Source organism: Homo sapiens, chromosome 7 (assembly GCF_000001405.40).
Source record: "Homo sapiens chromosome 7, GRCh38.p14 Primary Assembly".
Classification (NCBI taxonomy): Eukaryota; Metazoa; Chordata; class Mammalia; order Primates; family Hominidae; genus Homo; species Homo sapiens.
In genome coordinates this window covers 28,495,510-28,517,374 of record NC_000007.14, presented here as the reverse complement: position 1 = coordinate 28,517,374, position 21,865 = coordinate 28,495,510, and the positions used below count along the sequence as shown (strand labels likewise).

The 21,865-nt window shown below is 39.8% G+C and overlaps 1 protein-coding gene across 11 annotated transcripts in view; it reads right to left on the bottom strand.

The window, feature by feature from the left end:
• CREB5 (cAMP responsive element binding protein 5) overlaps positions 1 to 21,865 on the bottom strand; it is a 526,574-nt gene that overhangs the window by 308,520 nt on the left and 196,189 nt on the right. For all 11 annotated transcript variants that reach the window (NM_182899.5, XM_017012807.2, XM_017012808.2 and 8 more), the window contains one exon: positions 9,638 to 9,759. In NM_182899.5, the coding sequence (NP_878902.2) occupies positions 9,638 to 9,759 (122 nt within the window). The remainder of the gene's footprint in view (positions 1 to 9,637; positions 9,760 to 21,865) is intronic.

The window sequence follows — 21,865 nt, the reverse complement described above, 5'->3', positions numbered from 1 at the left end:
TTTTCAGTATGGAAATAACTTAACAACACACAAATGCTGGAGCAGAGTTCTCAGAGTAAATCACTCCCATACCTGCTCCAAGCCGTACTTAATGTTCACCTGGATTTATGAGATGATGGAGGCAGAGACAGTTTCTTGCAACTATTATATTATTTTCCTTTCCTCTTTTTACAATGTCAGTTTTTTTCACGTCTCTGTGAGGGGCCCAGGTAAGTAACTTAGCTACAGATGCTGAGTCTATCATTTGGTCCAGTTTTCCAAATGTGAATGCTGTTTTCTGCCTAGAACGGAAGCTTCATCTTTTAGTCATTTACTTTTAATCTGGCCCAGAAAACAGATCTGTTTTCCTGCATGCCTTTGGGAGTATTAATGCAGGGCCTCGCGGAGGACAGCGTGAGCTTCCTCTGCAGATGCAAGGGCCTCCTGAGCCCAGGTACACACCCCACTCTGTGTGCCTGTCTGGCACGTCAGAAATCCTGAATTACTCACAGCTGGAAATGGATTCATTCGGAGGAGAGTGTCCATTCGATGTTGTGATTCCATTTGGGTTAATACCTTGAAATTGCAGCCTGGCTTGCCTGCCTTGGGACAGGTAAGAAGCGATTTAAACAAGCTGAGTACCCGACCCAACCTGGAATTTAAAACAATCACCCTGATGAGAAAGTTCCCTGCTGGGAAAAGCTACCTTTTCCCCAGACCTTAAGGCGGAGCTTCCTAATTGTTTTAGTGAGGATCATCCCAACCACTAGAATCCACTTGGACTGATTTTCAGCTGCAGTAAGGCTGCCTGATGGGAGGGCAGGGCGGGCCAAAGAAGTGGCCCTTACAGGCTGCAGCTGAGCTGAGGGCGGTGCCTGCGGAGCTTCAGGGCTGCACTGTGGTTTTGGCTGTTTTGGGTTTCTTTTTTCGGTCATTTATTGCCCCCACTTCAGTCCCAATGTTGTAGCACCAGGATTAACTGACCACATGTTGCTGTAGTAAAATACAGCATGAGGCTGTGTTTATAAAATTTCCAAACTATCCCCTTTTTATACCCACTATGTCCCACACCGATCTCTCTAATTTTTAACAATGATAATATTTGGAGGAACTTTTCCTTTAACCACAAAGAAAAGGCAAACAGCTTCAAGAACAATTGTTTTCTTTACTTTTTTTTTAAAAAAAATACAAGGTGTCGCTCTGTCACTCAGTCGAGTACAGTGGTGCGATCACAGTTCTCTGCAGCCTTGAACACCTGGGCTCAAGCAACCCTCCTGCCTCAGCCTCCCAAGCAGCTGGGACTACAGGTGTGGGCCACCAACCCTGGATAATTTTTTTATTTTCATTTTTAATACAGAAGAGGTCTCATTATGTTGCCAAGGCTAATCTTAAACTCCTGAGCTCAAGTGATCCTCTCACCCCGAGGCCTCCCAGAGAGCTCAGATTTCAGGTATAAGCCACCACACCTGGTCATATATATATATATTTTTACTTTAAACATTTCTGTTAGTTTTTGTTTTTTTTTAAATGCATTCAATTTTACAATAATAATTATTACAATAATACTTATTACTAGGTATCTCTTTAAAGTTATGTTAAAGGTCATATAGCCTTCTTAGAATTCGCAGCAATAACCCAGTACGAAGTAAGAATGGTCTAGGCTTGAGGTAATAGAAACGGAAAATAAAGGGAAGATCTGAGGACTGTGTCTAAAGAAATTTGATTGGACCTAAGGAGTGGAACGAAAGAGGGTAGGGAGGGAGCTGAGTCCCAGAGTGGGAGGGTGAAACATGCCTCTAACAGAACCAGGGGAGTCGGGCATGGTGGTGAGTTTGTATGGGAAAGCCCTGGGTATGGTTTCCGGCATGTTGAGTGAGGAATAGCAGTGGTATGTTCAATGGGAACATCAGTAACAGCTAGAGGCTAGAGACCAATATTTATGCCAATGCAAGGGCTAGATGTACGATAAAGGAATTGTCTGGGTGGACTTGACTCTTAAGCTATGAGAATGTATGGGTTTTCTGAAGAGAAGGTGTAAACAAAATCCACCTAAGAGTGGATACATCCAAAAGACAGGGAGGCAGAGCTGGACACCCAGAGAGGTCAGAGAAAGGCCAAGACGGTCCACATAAACCACTGGCTCCCTTTTTGTCTCTCTTGACAGTTTATTTCTCTGCATTTCCAATGGAGAAAACTATTACTAGTATAACCACTTATAATTATTCCCAGTTAACTGAAGAGGCCCAAATCAAATTATCATTAATAGTATATTTAATGGACATTAATTCATGTCCATATGTGGACATGAATATGCTTTATGAATATGTAAGTCCTTTGATTGTTACCATCCCCAGTCACAACTGAACAGGAAATGCTGGTGCAAGAAAACACTATTTTACTCTGCAATATTTCCAACACAATAGTCTTTCCCAAAATTAACGTCCAGCTTCCCTAGCAATCATCATGATGGAAATAAAATAGGGTCCAAGCATTCTCCAGTCCCTCCTACTCTGTAGCTTCAAGGGAGACATTAGCACCTCCGATAACACCCGCCACAGGCATGACATGAATGCGCAACCTTTCTAATTCAGACTCCAGCCTCTGAAAACCTTGGGCCAGTTCTCAAGAAGACATCAGACAGAGACTTCTATCTTGCCAGAACAAATGTCCTGTCATAGCAAATATAAATAAAACCTGTGATAGGCCAGGCGCGGTGGCTCACGCCTGTAATCCCAGCACTTTGGGAGGCCGAGGCGGGCGGATCACGAGGTCCGAGATTGAGACCATCCTGACTAACACGGTGAAATCCCGTCTCTACTAAAAATACAAAAAATTAGCCAGGAGTAGTGGCCGGCGCCTGTAGTCCCAGCTACTCTGGAGGCTGAGGCAGGAGAATGGCGTGAACCCGGGAGGCGGAGCTTGCAGTGAGCCGAGATGGCGCCACTGCACTCCAGCCTGGGCCACAGAGTAAGACTCTATCTCCAAAAAATAAAAAATAAATAAAACAAATAAAACCTGTGATAAATAATTTAAATAATTAATACTGAACTCAGAGAACAATGAAAGCTGCCACAGGCTAGGAGACATTCGTCTGAAATTACTGTCACAACCACCTCCCCCCTTCACTTTGCCTGTTAACACTGGTTGAAGACAGAGCCACCAGCTGCCAAATAATCAAGCACTCAAAATCAAGTCCCCAGTCGCAAAAGATAAAATACTTTTTTTCTTTACTGTGAAAATTAGCTTGTAAGGATTCATCAATTAAGATCCAAATAACCCGAATATGCAAACTCGCCAAGGGAGATGATGAACAAATATCTGTCACCATCTTAGCCAGTATTCCTCTAAGCTGTCAGCTTCCTGAGCTGCTCTCATCATCTACATCGAACACTTAATATTAAGTGTCCACTCTTTGCAAGACAATAGACTATGTATATTGCTACTTTCAGGATACCCTGTCTTTTCACCAAAAAACCCAAAAACAAACCAAAAATGAACTCCTATGAGTTGAAAAGAACTCCACTCCATTTTAAAGTTGAAGCAGAACCTGAGATCACATTCATTCACATATGTGGAAGTAAATACCAACTCTTAATAATCCCTGCTAAGATTGTACTCATTATTCCTAAATCCTAGTGACCTAAAACACATGAAATAGCTTCCAGTTTATCCACTGGTTTAGTCATTCCCCTGAGTGGGATGCAAAGATCAAGTCAAATTCCCTTCCAGCGTCAAATTCCACCTAAGATGAGGGCATAATTTTAACCTGCAAGGAGAAAGTTGAACGTGATTTACATTTGTAGTGCACTGAAATGGGAGGACAAAAAGAATCCTTATAATATAAGCCTTAGGGTTTTCAGTCATTGGGGTGGTGGAAGAAAGAGGTTGTCATCTCCAATATCACTGTCAATGAGTGTTTCCTTTCAGTCATGCTGATAAAAAAAAAAAATGAAAAGATCAAAAGCAGCCTCATCTACTAGGATTAAGCAAACACGGGGACATTTTCAAAACCTGGATAAAACCAAGTTTAGGTTTCAGAATATTCTTTTTCTCCATACTTCTGGGGGGAGGGAAGGATTGTTTTACACAAATATCAGAGAAGCAACATGTTAGCATAACCGGAAATGTGCAGCTGTTGCAAGTTTGCTCAACTTGGCATCTTTTATTTTCCATCCAGCACCACTCATACCTTCCCCACAGAGCAGCGATGCTGGCTAGCGGCTGATGGGCACAAGATAGTGTAAGAAGGCAAAGTGCCTCTCCTTCCGCACCTTCTTGCCCCAAGTAATGGGTGGCATCGGGTAACATGATTTCCAGGTACAGAATTTAATCAGATTAAACAGCCTGCTTTGCGGAGCTGAGGCTGACCCCACCATGCCCTGTTCTGTGACTCCTGTTGAGCTGGGATCCAAGATCTTAAGACTGTAGCTTGTCCCTTGTTCCATGTGTTAAACAGTCAATACTCTCTGGGGATGGACTTCACTTTTAATCATTTTGGTAGGAATTCTAGAGCATGGAAATGTCCTAATTTCCTATTGCTGCATCAGCATAATGAGTCCGATTTAGGTCCTATGGGAGAATAACAACACTTAGCACTTATACACCACACTTTTCATCTTCAGGGTCTTTAACCACTTTAGGCTGTAATGTTATGTTTCTCTTAGCAGGACAAAGGAGTTCATTTCTAGTCCCTTCAATTACCCGTCCTTCCTTACACACACACACATACACACACACACACACACACAGTTATTATATGATAAATCTATTTCCCATCTCCTAGATGTGTATTATGCAATTTCTTTTTTAAGTCATTAAACATAAAAGGAAAATTCACACACCTCTTTTTTTCTTTTTCTGTTTTTAAAAATATTTTTGTTTTTCTTTCCTCTAACATGGAACACAAAATCAACATGCCAGTTGTCCATTCAACATGTCTGCTAGGGCTGGGCTTCCCTACTTGATTTCATTCTTCATACCTCATGGTCTCCTGCGTCGTCTCTGACCACGGAGGGGAGTGCAATCCTCTGTGTCAGAGAATTCTGGAAGATTCCGCCCAGCTCATGCTCAGACCTCTCTACTTCATCTCTATTCACTTCTGGCTCAGGTGACTCCACCCAATCTCAAGTACATAAACACCGTTTCTACATTAGTGACTCCCAAATCTGCATCTCCAGGCTGGTCTTCTCCCTTGAATTCCAAACCTATATATCCATCTGCTGGTCCAGCATCTCCACTTAGCAAATCTAAAAAGAAACCCCCAATTTTCCCCTTAAACCCACTCCTCCCACAGGCAATCCCATCCTTCCAGTTGCTCAAGCCAAATACCCGGGTTCATCCTTGGTTTTGCTGCTTCTATTACTTCCCAATCTAAACCATCAGCAAATCCTGTTGGCTCTCTCTTCAAAATGTATCCAGAATCTATCCACTGCCTCCATCTCCACCTTGAGCCAACCTGCTATCATCTCTAATCTAAATTCTTTCAATACCGTCTCAACTGGTCTCTCTCTCAGCCACTGCTCTTCGATAGTTTGCTTTCAACTCAGCAGCCAAAGTGATCTTCCTAAGATGTAAGTCAAATCCTCTCACTTTTCTGCTCAAAACTGTCCTGGCTGGGCACAGTGGCTCACGCCGGTAATCCCAGCACTTTGGGAGGCTGAGGCGGGCAGATCACTTGAGTCCAGGAGTTTGAGACCGGCCTGGGCAACACGGTGAAACCCCATCATTACAAAAAATATGAAAAATGAGCCGGGCATGGTGGTGGGTACCTGTAGTCCCAGCTACTTGGGAGGCTGAGGTGGGAGGATCAACTGAGCCCAAGAGGTCGAGGCTGCAGTGAGCTGAGATTGCACCACTGCGCTCCAGCCTGGGCAACAGAGTAAGAACCTGTCTCAAAAAAAGCCCAAAAAATTGTCCTATAGTTTCCCATCTCACTCAGTTGAAGCCAAAGCCCCTTTACAAGGCCTCCCAGGATCTGCCCTCCCAGACCCGGATCTCTAGCCTTATTACACCCGCCTTGGGTCTCTTTGTAATTCCTCCAACACACAGAGCACCCTCCAGCCTCAGGCCTTTGCACTTATGTGCTTTCAGCTTGAAACATTCTTCTCCCCAGTACGTACCTGGTTCAGACCTCCTCCCACTTTGGGTCTCTGCTTGCACATCTACTAACCATCAATGCCTGCCTGACCACCCGCAGCATGCCCTGTGCCCCTTCCCTGCTATTCCTTTCTCCATCACACTTATCACCATCTGACATGTTATAGATTTTTTTTTCACATATTTATTGTTTCTCTTGCCCCCTAGAGGTAAACTACCTGAAGGCAGGTATTTTTGTTTGTTTTTTATCATCTTTATTCAGTGGTATATTCAACAATGCCTTGGACAGTGCCTGCCATGTGGTGGGCACTTGAAAATGTTTCTTGAATGAAAAATGATGAACAAAATTTCTTATATATTTCAGGATATGAACTAGTCTGAGTTCTAAGCCATTGGCAAGTTGACATTTATGATACCTGATAGTGAATTACAACATGCTTTTCTAAGGGGAAACAATTCTCTTATTAAAGATTTATGAGGTTATAAGCTTCTATTAATATGGAAATTGAGGCTATTATGGAACGTGTTGTCTGCTATGTATAGTATTAATACAGATAATGAGGGCTTTCTCCAGTGGACATAACCTGCTTACAGCCTGCGCTGATTCTATATACACATTGGGATGCTTCTGGAAAAGGATGCTGGGATTAGAGACAGAGTCTGTACAACAGACTTTTCCCCAATGGACAGCCACATGGGTCAAGTAAGGATCAATTCTCTATTTGCTCTTTAACAGAATTTTCTAGACCAACTGCAGCTAGAAGTTTTAAAGGTGGTGTGCAGAACCAGTCCAATCTTTCCAATATTTTTTGTGTAAGACACATAGAAAGTTCAAGCAAGAACTTTCTTTAGCCAAATTCTCCAGATAAATTAATCCATCTTCCACTTTACTAAAACCTAATGAGGGAACCAATGCAAGTCTAAAGACTCAGAGGAAAAGAAATCAGAAGACAACTAGAGATGTAGAATTAAAAAGAAATAATTGTCAGAATGTAGACCAAAAGGAAAAAGAAAAGAATACTAAAAAATGATAAGATAGGCACTGAATAAGAACCTGTGTTTCTGCTTTTTAAGCAGGGAAAGAAGAGCTGGGGTGGCAGGATGCCAAGGATGTTGACAGCTGGAAAAACCTGGTCAAAGGGGTAGGTAAAAGAATATTGTCAGGCGGGGGAGCATTATTCCTACTCCTCATTTCCCTGCCCTGTGACTTCCAAAGAAATGCCAGAGCCAAAGCCACCAACACAGCCGTCTTTGCTGCCAGAGGAGTCATTGTGGTTTAGCCCTCAAGACAATGCCCTCTCGTGTAACCATGGCCACCTGAGGCTGGATTTGGCCCCTCTGGTTTGAATGAGGCAAAGGAAGAAGAAGCCTCAACAGCCTGAATATTGTCCAGCTTCCCATGCGTGCAAGTGAGGCTGAGGCATGAGACGGCGGTGTCCTGAGATGCTGGCCCTAGACCATGGGGAGGCTGGCCGTTCCCCACCCACACACCTATCATGAAAGCATCACATGGCTATGAGCAACACTTAAAAGAGAGAAAATAACATGTTTCTACAGCTGCAATAGTTCCTTTTCTTACTTTGGTTGCTTAATTATTTTAATTTTTAAAATTTAATTATCTATACTCTTTTTCAACCCACAAGAAATTTAAAGCAACTCACGAAACATGTATAGCATGACAATGTTTTTTAAATTAAAAATCAGAACCAGAGAAAATATAAACTAGAACTGAAAGTCTGGTCTAGGGAGGAAGTAAAATATGCTCGTCACAATGTTCGAAAAGGTTTTCAAAGTTTAGCAGTAAACTTGGCTTTGTGTTAACCTGGCAGTCAAAGCGAAAAGAGAAACAGAACCAGTTACATGATTCTCATGTCCATAAGGAGAAAAATATTTCAGTTCCTCAGGGGAAGCAAACCATTTCCTGGAATTCAGATCTGCAAGAATTTCCTCACACAGGGCTTCATATAAGAAATCATGAATAATGCAATGGAGAATATCTAAAACCACACCCCGACCACGGGCTTCACGAAACTGTTCTTGGAAAAATGTCTTTAGTAAAATCAAGGGCACACACTTGAGGTAAAACCATTCTATCAGAAATGAAGACAATATGGATGAAATACACATCTTTCTTATAGTTCAGTTTAAGAAGCCAGCTTTGACTATCTTGAGGAATGAATGAACTTAATTCCTTAGTCTTCTACATACACATGTCTATCAAAAAAAAAATTTATTACTCAACCAAAGGAAGTTGACTAGATGATGAGAATTTCTTCCTCTCTTGCATGCTATTTTTATGGTTTTAAATATATATACATATACATTTCTATTGCAACAAAATATAGAATGCATGTCTTTTATTTTTATTAAGTTAATTTTTTAAAGTGCTCAGAACCTTATTATTTGGCTGGCAAATAATAGTTGCTATGTAAGTGCTTGTTTAAAAAAGAAAAAAGGCACTTCATATCCTTTGAGGGGGAGTGGAGGAGAGAGTCAAGCATGCATGATAAATTAATTATAAATAAGTAAAACGAGTTGACTGAGATTTTGTACCCCTCTTGTAAGCATCACTTATTTTCATGGTTTCTCCTGAAGCCATACAGGCTAAATACAAGCCCTTGACTATTATGACATGAGAATGTGACAGGAAAAATCTGGTGGAGGGGGGATTATTATAATTTCACATAGACAAGGACTAAAAGGCTTTGAAACACTTAGAGAAATATCAGAACCTTTTAAAATTTCTTTTCCGGATGGAACAGCTGGACTTCAGAATTCATTACTACCTAACTGGTCTTTCCTTTCAATCACCTTTCACATTTTGAATTTCTGTTCACAGACTGTATCTAATTTGTTTCTTAATACAATGTGGGCATTCAATAATGCTGTATAATAACAATGAACAAAATACCAAAAAGCATCCTCATCACATTGACTTGTGACCACCATCTCCTTTCATTATTCTTGTAAAGTGATTTTAAATTTCAGCACATTCCCATAAACACCGAATATATTCTTAAGGGTTTCACAAAATGATTTTCCTACATTTTTAAGAACAAATGATTCACAGTTGTACTCAACTTATTTGTCTCAGCAACAACAGATGTTCAATACTAGAACAAGGTAATATGACCAGGAAATAATTATGAATTTGGTGCAGAATGACTGGAAAGATTATCGAAAACAGACAGTTACAACATGGGCCAAAGTCTGATGAAATCCCCTCTTCTACCATGAAGATTACTCGCCTGTTCTCTCACCCATTGGCTCTATTCTTCTGCACTCACTGCTCACAAAAGGTTTGCTATTAAATACTTAGCAAAGTAAAACAGCTGATTGAGAATAGAAAAAATCTGTAAGTTTGACTAAATTTTTGATTTATCTAGCTTTGAATTCTGCCATAATCAAGGAGTAATCTTTTAAAAAAAATTAGACAAATACTCACAAATGGCTAAAATACTTCAAGGCCACATCAACACAATCTGCAGTGCAGTGCCACCTAGTTTCCTCGTGGAAGTTTCTAGCAGGACACCTCTCAAGGCGGCCATCCAAGCAAACCTACCCGCTTGCTGCTCTCCTCTTCCTGAGCCTTCCTGAACTCGTGCTCCAGGGAGCAGTCCAGCTCGCTGAAGAGGCCCACCTCCTCGCAGTTCTTCAGGAATCTCGTTGGGGTCGGAGTTTGATCTGAAAACAGAGTCGGAGAGCTCATAAATGGGTCTTTTTTCTCAAAAGCCAGTAGCAAGCATGAGCTAGATTCACTAATCCCCTCCCCTTGCCTTAATTAAAATGTCCACTAGCCATCCAGTCTCTTGGCCCTTTAAATAACATAACGATATGCAAGAAAATAAAACCGTAAATTCCGAAGCAGGAATACAGTAGACAGAAGGCTGTAGTCTGCGAGGGCTTTTGCTGAACTCCCTCCAGACAACTTCAGGAGATCTCACTCTCCACTTGTCTGAAGTCTGTACCATTTGAATACACATTGAAACATGTGGAATGACCCTTTTTCTTTCTATATTTATTTTGAACTTTAAAAAGAAAATGATTTTGCTAAAATAAGGCCAAAAAAAAATCTGACCCAATGTTAAGCCTGACTTCAGGGGGCTGGAAAGAAAAAGGATTTTGCAAATTCTTATAGTAAACAAAAAGAAACAAACAAGCATGTTAATTCATTTTTCTTAATGGAGAAAGAAAACTTAACAATTCTGTCTCTCTTTCTGAAAATCATAGAAGGATGATAAAAAGTTCCAAGTCAAACACATTCAGCTTTCATCCTTTAAAAATGTCATTATTAATTTTATTTTCCTTTGCTATAGCCAAAAAAAGAATGTTCTGCAAATGCTCTTTAAAAGGAAAAGAATTTCTTTCATATTTTTTACTTTCTACAGAGCTTTCTACTTATAAAACTGATGGAGCTGAAGCCACTATTTGTAGCTTAATATATATGCAGCATTTGCAGTTTATAAAGTATTTTCATACAATTCTTGAGAATCTAGATCTCACAAGATTCCATTAAATAGAAGGTAAGTAGAGTAGAATTGCACTTCCATCGTCATTGAGTGCAATCATCTTCCTTGGTGAAGGTGTACTTGAGTTGAGACAAATAAAATTGTGTAAATGGTCTTTTCTCAGAAACAGGAGATATTAGAAGCAGAAAGGACCACGGAAGAAAGCCTAGCCATGCTAAATTTTTGCAGATCAGAAAAACAGAGGCCCAGAGTAATTAACAGTCTTGCTTAAGGTCTCCCAGATAAATGGTAGAGACAACAGGATTATAACCAAGGCCTCAATGCTATTTCCACTGTGTACATGTATTATTCCCACCTAACCCTGTAGTAGACTGGATTAGATTAATTATGGCATTTTCCCAGCTTGATCTAGACTGTCTCAAAATCTCTGCATAGTTCTCTAAGCCATTAACCAGTCAACTGAAGAGGTGCCCTCAAGTTGAAACAAATTTGCCATTCCTGCATTCTCTTTATAAATTCCTATATTATAAGAAACTAGAATTATATTTACTTTTCTAAATCATACAGAGAATAGTTAAGCCCAGTAAATCAGTAAATTGTCTGATTCAAAGAATATCTTAATACCCATGAAGCAGAAAATGGTGTAATATCCCCCACCGAATCAGCCCTTTAGAGGCAATGTCTCTTGATTCCCTCTGGGCAAGCAACTTTCAGCACCCAAATGGCTGACTTGGATTCCATGCAGCAAAATCCCCATCTGCATTTTTTCCCATTCTTGACCTAATCTCCAAGATACTGAGCTCCTTGCATTTCACAGAGAGCATACCACAGCTGTTCGTAAATTCGGCATTACAGATAAGGGATGTGTGAAAGAGTGGGTTTTGTTGAATATTGTTTTATTAGCAACTAATTTATTTATTAAGAGGCACACATATACACCTAGGTCCCTAATATACACATATAACTATTGTGTGTTTATAGAAGACAAAATTAATATTTATGCAGGATTTTGCAATTAACATTTTCACTCATATTGTCTAGAATCTAGATCTCGCATGATTCTATGAGGTAACAAGAGTCGATACTATTTTATAAATGAAGAAACGAGCTTCCTTGCACAAGGTTACACAATTTGTAACCATCTTATCACTACTAAGTCCTCTCTTACCTTCAGACACTATCCCTTTTTGATCTAAATTCAATGCTTTGCCCTCCCTGATCCAAAGGGCTCTGTTGTGTGTGTAGAAAACAATTTCAACAACCCAGAAATCTAGATTTGAGAATACTGTAATATGGGGGAATTTACCTACATTCTCTGGACTTCATATTCCTCATCTTTCAAAAAAATTTCTAAAGTTGTATGATCCTATAAATCCTAAAATCACCACCATAATGGGTTAGCTTTAAAAAGTCACTGTTCATAGCCCGAAGAAATATGTGACTAAAGGACAGTCAAATGGGAACATAAGTAACAGCTGGAAGTTTGATACTAACAGGTCAGAGGCAAGGGCTGGCTATATAGATAAAGGAGTTTTCTGAATAGAAAGTGTATGGACAAGATCTGAGAGTGAAAGTAAAAGGGTGTATGTGCGTGTGTGCGTGCGTGTGTGCATGTGTGTGTGTGTGCGTGTGTGTGCACGTGCATGAGCACATATTCTGCTAAGTGCTTTGCATACAGCATCTCATTAGTTTTTACACCAACCATATTATGTAAAAATTATTTTTCCTGGTTTACATATGAAGAAACTGAGACCTGCCCCAGGCCTGATAATGTGACTGATGGGGTAATTCCTAATTCATAAGGCCAAGTTTGTAGCACTCTGCTGGATCGATCCACAAGTAGTCTCAGCAAGGCAAGTATCCTGTACCAACCAATTTACAGAGGTAGTGATTCCATGAAAAGACACTCCTTTTTTTCAGCAAACCAACTCACCAAGGGAACCAGATACTGAAATATGACAAACGTTGCAAAGGAGGTTTTTTTAAACTCCTTTTGGTGCCAATCTTTCTTGTCAAAGAAATCCCCAAGGATATGCAAGACAGTGAGAGGAGTGGGTAACAGTTCCTACTCGCACTTGCCCTGGTGCTTAGGTCTCCTGGGAACCTGGTGTGCTATTTGCAAACTCTCTGGAGAGGGTAACACACGGGTGTTTATGCAGCGCCACTTCAGATTTACAAAAGCAGTAACAACAAAAAAAACTTTCAACTCTCAAACTCAAAAGTTACTTGTTTTTAGTTTGGTTTGAGATGGGTTTATTCCCTTCTCTCATTCAGAGGGTCCTCACTGTAGTTGAAGCACTAAAAGAACAGTGAGTGGAAGGCCTGAAACAATCGTCTTGGCTTTAAGTTCTTATTGAAACCAGCTCCTGTAAACCCCCCAAGGGCCTCCTATCAATACTCAATGAGCACACCTTAGATATTATGCACCAATGGAGCATCCGCCATTATTATTCAGGATCTAGAAATCACTGGGGCTGGAGCTGACTGGTGCCTGTTCTTGGCTCTAAATAAGGTGTGATTTACAAGAATTTTAATTTATGGCCATGGAGATTGCACACCATCTTCAGGTCTAATTTCAGCAGAAATAGTTATTTGACAAGGCATTCGTGTGTTGATAGATTTAGCTGTCCCCTTTTTTTAACATCTGCACATTTTCTGGCTTACTTGGAACTGGTACCGTGTGAGATCAAAGATAACTAGAGACCTTGTATTAATTCTCATAAATGTTAAAACAAAAGTTAAGCCCCATTTTCTGGTTCTTGTTGTAACTGGAAAGAATAGCTCACTCACAAAAAGAAAATGAATTTAAAATTTGGGACAGTGTGCCTTATCTATTCCAAATGTGGGTATCGACTTTGCTTTTCTCTAACTATATCCTACAGCAAAGAAAATCACATTTGGTAACAGCCCTGGGACCTTTTTCTGGTCCTTCTGCTCTGGGGGTGGGAGGGAAGCAGTTGTCTTTGCAGTCTGTGGCTCCCCTGGCCCCGGAGCTTTCATTTCTCCATGGCTGAAGAGGCTGGTGATGCTGGACTGTGTCAATCCCATGCCTATGCCATCCTCCCGCAACCTCCTTTGTTCATGTGTGTAGGTGTGTGCTGGTATCTGGGAACAATCTTTTTTAAGAGCAGACAGAAAACATCGCTCAACGTGCTTGGGGCTTGGGCTCTCACATGCCAGCCTGAATTCAATTTCATGGACCATCTCATGACCTCATCTCAGAGTTCAGGAGTCTGAGAGAGGCTGCTAGGATGACTGTTCTCTTTACCTCTCTATGAATCATGGCCCTCAATTTCTAAATCTCAAGCAAAGAAGCATAAAGGGATAAAAGGAAGATTAAAAACTGGCAAACTCAATTCCCACTGATGATGGGTAGTCTAATATTTCTGTTATCTTATGTGATTTTTCTCAGGTATTTTAATTGCAAAACTGTTCCTTTAAGATAGGAGAGAGTCAGTAGGATTGTAATGCAGTTCTATTGGTGAGGGATATGAATGATTCCAAAATATTTCAAAAGAACCGAAAGTTGTTAGGATTATCAATTACCAATCAAATTATATGACACAATTTCCAAATCATGGAATCACTGCCTCTGTAAATTGGTAGGTACAGGATACTTGCCTTGCTGAGACTACTTGTGGATCGATCCAGCAGATTGCTACAAACTTGGCCTTACGAATTAGGAATTACCCAATCAGTCACATTATCAGCTGGGCAGACAAGCATACGGCTCAATGCATATGCGACTCTTAGCGCTTCCTATCAGTTCATAGTCTGCCTAGCATCAAGAGCTTCAGCCCAGCAAGTGCAATTATTCCAAAGTAAAACTAAATGACAAGAAAAATGCTAAATTCTGAAATCTGATTCTTCTTTTAAAAAGCATTTAGTCTGCTCTACATTTAATAATTGATTGCTACCTTACTCCCTTTCAGAGCTGCATTTGTATTATGTGTTTTTCTGTTTCATTTTCCTCAATGGTTAAAAAAGTCAAAGTGACAAATCACCAATTTAAAAAAGAAAAGAAGGGAAAATGCAGGGGTCCCATCACATACCAGAAAATAATATTAACTTCCTAAGCAAAATTTTCTTTCCTATTGGTCTGATATTCTCAACTATGGTATTACTAAAGGACTGTGAAAATAATGTTACATCATATGGCATGAAACTGATAGTGGCTAGAAATACTATAAAAAGCCTCATTAGTTACAATAAAGGTTAGTCTGAATTAGCGGCCAGTCTAATTACAGGATATTCTTTAAAGGCAATGCATTTTTATTATTTGCATGACTCAGATTCAACCAAACAAAAAGGTGGCCTAATAGGATTCCTCAAGAGGGCTATTCAAATCAGTGGAGAAAAATATTGGAATTAGTATATCTATTTTAGTAAGAGTTAGAGTTATCTAAAAAGGTATTTTTCTTAGGTACTTTTCATATTTTTTTTTGGTTACATTTATCTCATAAATATTTCAGCAAATGCTTTCTTTAAAATATTCCAACTTAGTCCCTATCTAAATTTTAATAGAGCCCTAATTTAAGAAAATTTACATTAAATGAATTTTAATACACATAATCATTTGTAAGATCGATAATCAATCACAACACACAGAATTCCATGGAATTTTAGACTTCTTTGCAACAAATGTGCCTTTTATTGAGTGTGAATATATAATAGGAGTCTCTCAGTAACACTGATGTTACTGTTTCCCTGCATCTGTCCTGAAAGGCAGTGCTACAATGGGACAAACCAAGGCAGACCTGGTTTTTAAGCAACAGACATGGAATGCTTAAAAACCATCCTGGCCAGGGTGATCCAGGTCAGTGGGGAGATGGAACACCCTCTTACACTCTTGACTCATATACTGGGATCCATTCATTGCCAAGATAGACAACTGTGGGACTAGATGCTCTTCCAAGTGCCTGTGAGTCCATTAGACAATGCTCTGACAAAGGTGTCTCTTACAACGCATGCTCAACTAGCTCCAAAAGACATAGTTTTAAAGTAACCAATTATATATTCCACACCTACTCACGATCAACCATGAGCTACCCCAAGTGTTCCAACTGCAATCAAGCCACAATTTCAATTTGCATTACTGAGGCTAAGCTAGTAAGAAGGGTTATTAACACCAAGAGATCAAGTCTCTGCTGGCCGAGTGAGCTAGGGGACCCAAGGTGATTTTATTATCAAAAATTGCCCTGAATAGCAGAAGCTAATGCTTAACTTTCCACTGAGTCCCTGATTGCCTGAGTTCTCCTATACTCTTAGTCAAAGGGGACTGGTTTCCAGACAGAACGAAGACAGCAAGCAAGCTTTTCATATAAAAAAGAATACTGCAGAGCAAGGCCTCCAAAGGATTCAGGGGAATTATTCAAAATTCCATTTTGCTTGACCAGCTAAGAATACGGACGAGAAACGGACAACTCCTATAAATGCCAGTAACACTTACATTCTATTTGTCACAATGGATGAGACAATCTGATTTTAAACCACAACTCTTTGTTCTTTTCAATGCTTATGTGTTAGAAGAATCTCCTAAAAACTTTTGATTATTTTCTCCATTGGATGACTATTAAAGAGATACCAATAATATAAGAAAAAGTAGTTCAGAGATTTATATCCAAACATACAACTGAGACCAAAATGTGTTCTTAGTATGTACAGCTCACACATCTAGGTGTATGGTAGGAAAATTACAGACATATATGGACTTTGAGCAAACTACTTATTCCTTTGATCTTATTTCCTCATATGAAAAAAAAAGTGGTAAGGATTAAATGACCTAATGTATGTAAAGCACAGGGCGCAATGACTGGTATAAGGGAAGGCAGTAAATGGTAGCTAGTATTATTACCATGCTGCCCTCTGGTGCAAGCCATCTCCCCCACCCTCTGCTCCATAAAGATCCAATTAATACACACGGTGGGAAGTTACTATATACCTTTACTATCAATGGAATTGCCAAGAAGAAGAGGTAAGTATGGGTCACGTGTGTGTGTGCGTGTGATTTATTTACTCAGTTTTTACAATACCCTAACTCGTTCTAAAAAAGAATTTGGAGTGAGATACGCCATCTTCCCTCCAGCTTCCCCCTTAAAATGCCCAGGGATTATTAAGTAGACTCTTCTAGCAAAGAACCATGAGCAATGGATCTCAGTTCTGTGATTGGATGATCATGATTAGCCTCTTGAGGACAAATGTTTTACTTCCCTGAATTACTTTCTTGCCTTCTCCATGGTGAGAATCAGGTTTAGAGCCTGGAACTAGAGATGGGCCCTGATTATAGACCTAATCCAGGGACACAGTTGGGTTCTGAAGGACTATATTGTCATTTATGTTAGATGCTTTCTATCAAATGGTGAGTGCTGAGAATCTGATGAATAAAGGAAGACGGGATAAAGAAGCCAGTCTTTCCTGCCTCTCTTCAGCGTCAGCTCAAGATATAGTCAGCTGTGCCACACGTGGGCTTGTGGTCTTACCCACATCCAGTCCCACCACATCCAGCGGTCAGGGAGAAAGGACACCTGAGCATAAAGTACCCAGAGGCCTTTCCTGACCCCGCTTCCTGCTGGCCACTTGCCATCACAGTCATGTTTTATCTTCATCATAGCACTTGTCACTAACTGATACTTATTTACTTATCTGGGTTTTTTGTTGTTATTTATTATCTCCCTTCCTCTGCACCCCACTTGAGTAGTAAGTTTCATGAAAAAAGAGACCTCACCTGTCTTGTTCAACGCAGCAATTAACACTTATTGTAGGCACTCAGTGAGTGTTTGCTGAATGAATGAATCACATGGCTGTAGAAGGGCAACTTCAGCCCCTTTTCCTACACCTTGACTGGTGCCTGCCCTAACTTCCATCCAAGCACAGACCAGTTGCCTATAGCATTAGCTGGGCCATGACGTCAGCAGGTAGGCTACCAAGGCATTTGAAAGACACACAGTTGGCCGGGTGCTGTGGCTCACGCCTGTAATCCCAGCACTTTGGGAGGCCAAGCGGGGCAGATCACCTGAGGTTGAGAGTTCGAGACCAGCCTGACATACATCAAGAAACCCCATTTCTACTAAAAATGCAAAATTAGCCGAGTGTGGTGGTGCACGCCTGTAATCCCAGCTAGTCAGGAGGCTGAGGCAGGAAAATCACTTGAACCCGGGAAGCAGAGGTTGCAGTGAACTGAGATAGCGCCATTGCACTCCAGCCTGGGCAACGAGAGCGAAACTCCATCTCAAAACAAAACAAAAAGACACACGGTTCTGTGTGTCTTTCTTATCTTTCTTAGGCTTCCCACATGAGATGTCAATTGGGTTTTACCTTGCGGGAAAGATCCACAACACTCTTGAACTTTATCTTCCCCTCTCCCTCCAGGCAACACAATCTATCATCTATTAGGTCACACACACACACGTGTGAGCACATGAGAGGACACATGTGCACACACAGCCCTACCTTGGAGGGCTGTCTCAACCTCTCTCCACAGTAAAGACTGAACTTGCTGGTATCAAGATTTACAGTGGAGATGGAGAAAAAGTCATGTGCTCCATTTGAATTTTTGTTTTAATAGGAATTCTCATTTGGAATATTACTTGTCTGTTCAGCTATAAATAAGGTTGCACTTTGATTCTGATTCTGGGTCTTTTTTTTTTTTTTTTTTCCTGCACAGAACCCAGGAACCCTATAAAGAACTCAGGGTGGGGATATTTAACAAGACAAGATTTGGAAATTCCTAGGTTCCTACCCGTACTACCATGGAAATAGACTCAAACACCACCCTCTTTACCGCTCTGCTGAAATTTGATCATGATTTTCAAACCAAACGTTGCATCATATAATAGCTTGTAATTTTGAAAGCTGCCTATGGATGTGCATTGTCCTCTACACATTCCCACTTCAAACTTGGCACTCAAAAACCTTCTGCATCACAACTTCCCTTACTATGAAATTATCCTTTTTCACAATGAGAACAGCTGAAGAGAGTGATTCACATCTATCATCACATTAGGGCTCTAGAAATGCATCACGTGGACCAAATAAAGATGAGAAGACCCAGGCGAAGGGTTGTGCAAGTCTTTGCTCTCAAAATCCAACACTGTCATCTCCATTTGTGTCTCTACTCTGTCCCTTTGAATAAGGGGTCTATGTTTACTGTCTACCCAGAAGATAGGGCTTATTCTAATAAAACACGAGGACTGTCACTTTTAATACCCTACCTGGTGGCATGTCAAAAATCGTTTACAATCACTTTTTGGGAGTGACTCTACCTGTCCTAAATGAAATGAACCTTATGACAAAGCTATGAAATTATTTCTGATCTTTCAACCCGTTGGAAACTTAGAGTATATCTGTGACATCTTAACACCTTCCCCAACTACAATATTTACAACTAATTAAGGATAAAGTGATTTTCCAAAATTTTCCAAAATAAAGGTTAACCAGATATTCTGAAGTTTGTCATACAAATATCTATTATATTTTATCTTCTTAAAATATGATGAGCCTCAACTCATCTGAAATAAAATGTGTAATTGAATATTGCTTGAAAAAGTAGTCTAGGAGGAACTTGAAGATTTTTACCCTGATATTTTGATTTACATTATTTTTATTATTGTTGCTACTATATTACAAGTCATATAAAATCATTCATCTTCATGATAGGCCACAAAATATGATAAGGTAAATAAAATTTTAATGAGCATGTTTGTTTGTTTTCCAGGACCAGAAGGCTTTAGTGTGAGTTCTAGCAATCTTTTAAGAAAAAAAAGTATTATAATATCACATAAACATGTAAAATAAGAGAACTAATTCTAAAACTCATAAGATACTAAAACTCATCATGGACAGTATGACAAAATACAAATACAAACTAATTTGGCCTACAAACATAGTTTTAATAAAAGTATTCTCTGAAGCTTTTGATAAATTGAATTTAAATAAATCAAGCAACAGTCAAGTAAAATCTTGTCATATATGCAATCATAATCCAATATGCCACAATTAGCCTTATGGAAAATAAGGCTTGAGAAAAATAAACACTGAAGGATTTCCTGGAGAAAAAATTAAAAAATAACAAAGTAAAAATACCCAACACAATAGCCTATTATAATTCAGGATGGACAATGTTGGTATATTACACAGAGTTCTCTAAGTGCAAAGAAATTGAACCAGACTGTATAGCTCTGCATTCCCTTCCAGTAAGAAAATTCTATGAACCTAAGAACATGCAAAGTAGGTAGCAAGTTTTAAAATTTAGCACTTCATTTCATTAGGAGTATTAAATGGCCTCACACCAACCTCAACACCAACCTCAACATAAACCATGAGAAAGCAAAAGAAAATATGTCAATATAATACTCATACTGTTTTTCTCTTCATTTTCTCATTCCAAATTTGACATAATAAAAATTAGAATTACTTTTCCCCAAATAATATTCCACCTGGCACTGCCAGTGATTGGCAGGGACAGCCTCAAATTAATAAGGATCCGGTAAGAACAATTGCAAAGCTGCAAGAGATTAACCCAAAAAACCTGCTTTAGGCACTATATAGAAGAATGCTTCGTTTCAGTGTTCACACATCTTCAGCTGCTCTTTTTCAGACCTTCAGATGGGGCTCCTTAGAGGACCATCCTGGCAGCCTGCCTGAAAGGCTGCTCTGTCTGGTACTTACACTGTAGTAGTAATCTCCCTACATAATCATCATTCCCTAAACTCACCTCCCACTCCTTTACCACCAGGCAGCTTATTTGAGGGATCCAATTTGGGAAAAATAAAGGGAGAACTTTTGAATTTAAATATTGGGAATTGCAGAATCTACAGCCTTGCTACTTGTGTATCTATGCTCACTGATGAACCATTAAGTTATACTACATTGACTCTATAGAACATAACGGATACAAAACAAAAGAATAGGCCATCCTTCCTAATCCTTCTAGGCTGTTATAATTCTTATGAATTTGAGTTTCTCCATCTCTGTTTGTAGACTTAAAAGGAGACCAAACAATTTTTAAAGAGCAAGCTCATAAAAAAAAAAAAACAATAACAAACAGAGGCTGAGAGGTGGCGAGTGGTGGGTGAAGAGAAGGGCAGATGCTGCCTTTGAACTCGGTGTCTTCCAAGCCAGAGCACATTGGCACTATCAACAAGTCACTGGATGTGTGGGTGGCTCCGACACCGGGAGTATTGGGAGAATCTGACCGTGTCTATAAAGTGGCAAAGTCTGATGATGCAGTAGCCGTGTGCAGGTTAGTGGGTTAGGACTGCAGGATCAAGGGCCCTCATCTTTTCCCTGTGTTCTGAGCCTGGGACAGAAGCTCCATCACCTGTGCCCTTCCTCCCCTGTCAATAACAATGGGTTACAATAACCTGTCTGACAAAACCCTTAGAGGATTATTGATAACAGTGATAGCCTGCACATGTTTCCCAGAACTTAAAATAAAATTAGTAAAAAAGAATTTAAAATATTGTAATAATAAAGCACTTTTAAAATTAAAGTAACATAGAAACACTAAATTACATGAGCCAGGCCTGGCAGGACAGTTTGTTTCTCTTCTAATACATTTAAAACATATCCATAGGTGTGCTAAGGAGAGAAGTGCTAAGGTGAAATATTTCTAGCCTAAGAAGAATAACAGGAAACTATTTGATTATCCTGTTAGGGTTTATGCAACACTTTTCCTTACATTCTTTCACTGAATCTCCATCATAAGCCTGTGAAACAGGCTTGGCAGACACAATCATTCCCATTTTTTGGGAAAAGAAACTGAAGCCCAAAAAGGTTCAATAAGTACTCAAGGTCATGGCCAGGTAAGGCAAAGCCCAGGATAGAGTTCAGGTTCCTCACTCCTGTCCCTGCACTTTTTCTAATTTGCCGTACTACCTCTCAAAATTAGAATAAATCACAATTAGCTAATGGATTATTGGTATTATTTATTTCTGCTCACATTTGCTGAGCACTTGCTGTTTCCATACATTCTCTCATTTAATCTCCCACATATGAGGCAGATATTGTTTCCTAAGGACACCTTCACTGACCATCTCAATCCAGAAAGAGAGCTCATTCTACCAAAGTTGCATAGCACCTTTTCCTTAAAATACTCATCTGATGTATGTCATAGATGATCCTTTATTTTAGCTAAGTTTTCACATGCATGCTATATTGTGATATCCTTGAGGACAGGAAGAATATAAATCTTTGCATTTCCCATGGCTCACAGAACAGTGCAGCGTGCATAGATGCCCAATTCACATTTGTTGCTCGAGTGTGATTACAGGTATGTAATTTTTTTTTTTTTTGAGACGGAGTTTTGCTGTCACCCAGGCTGG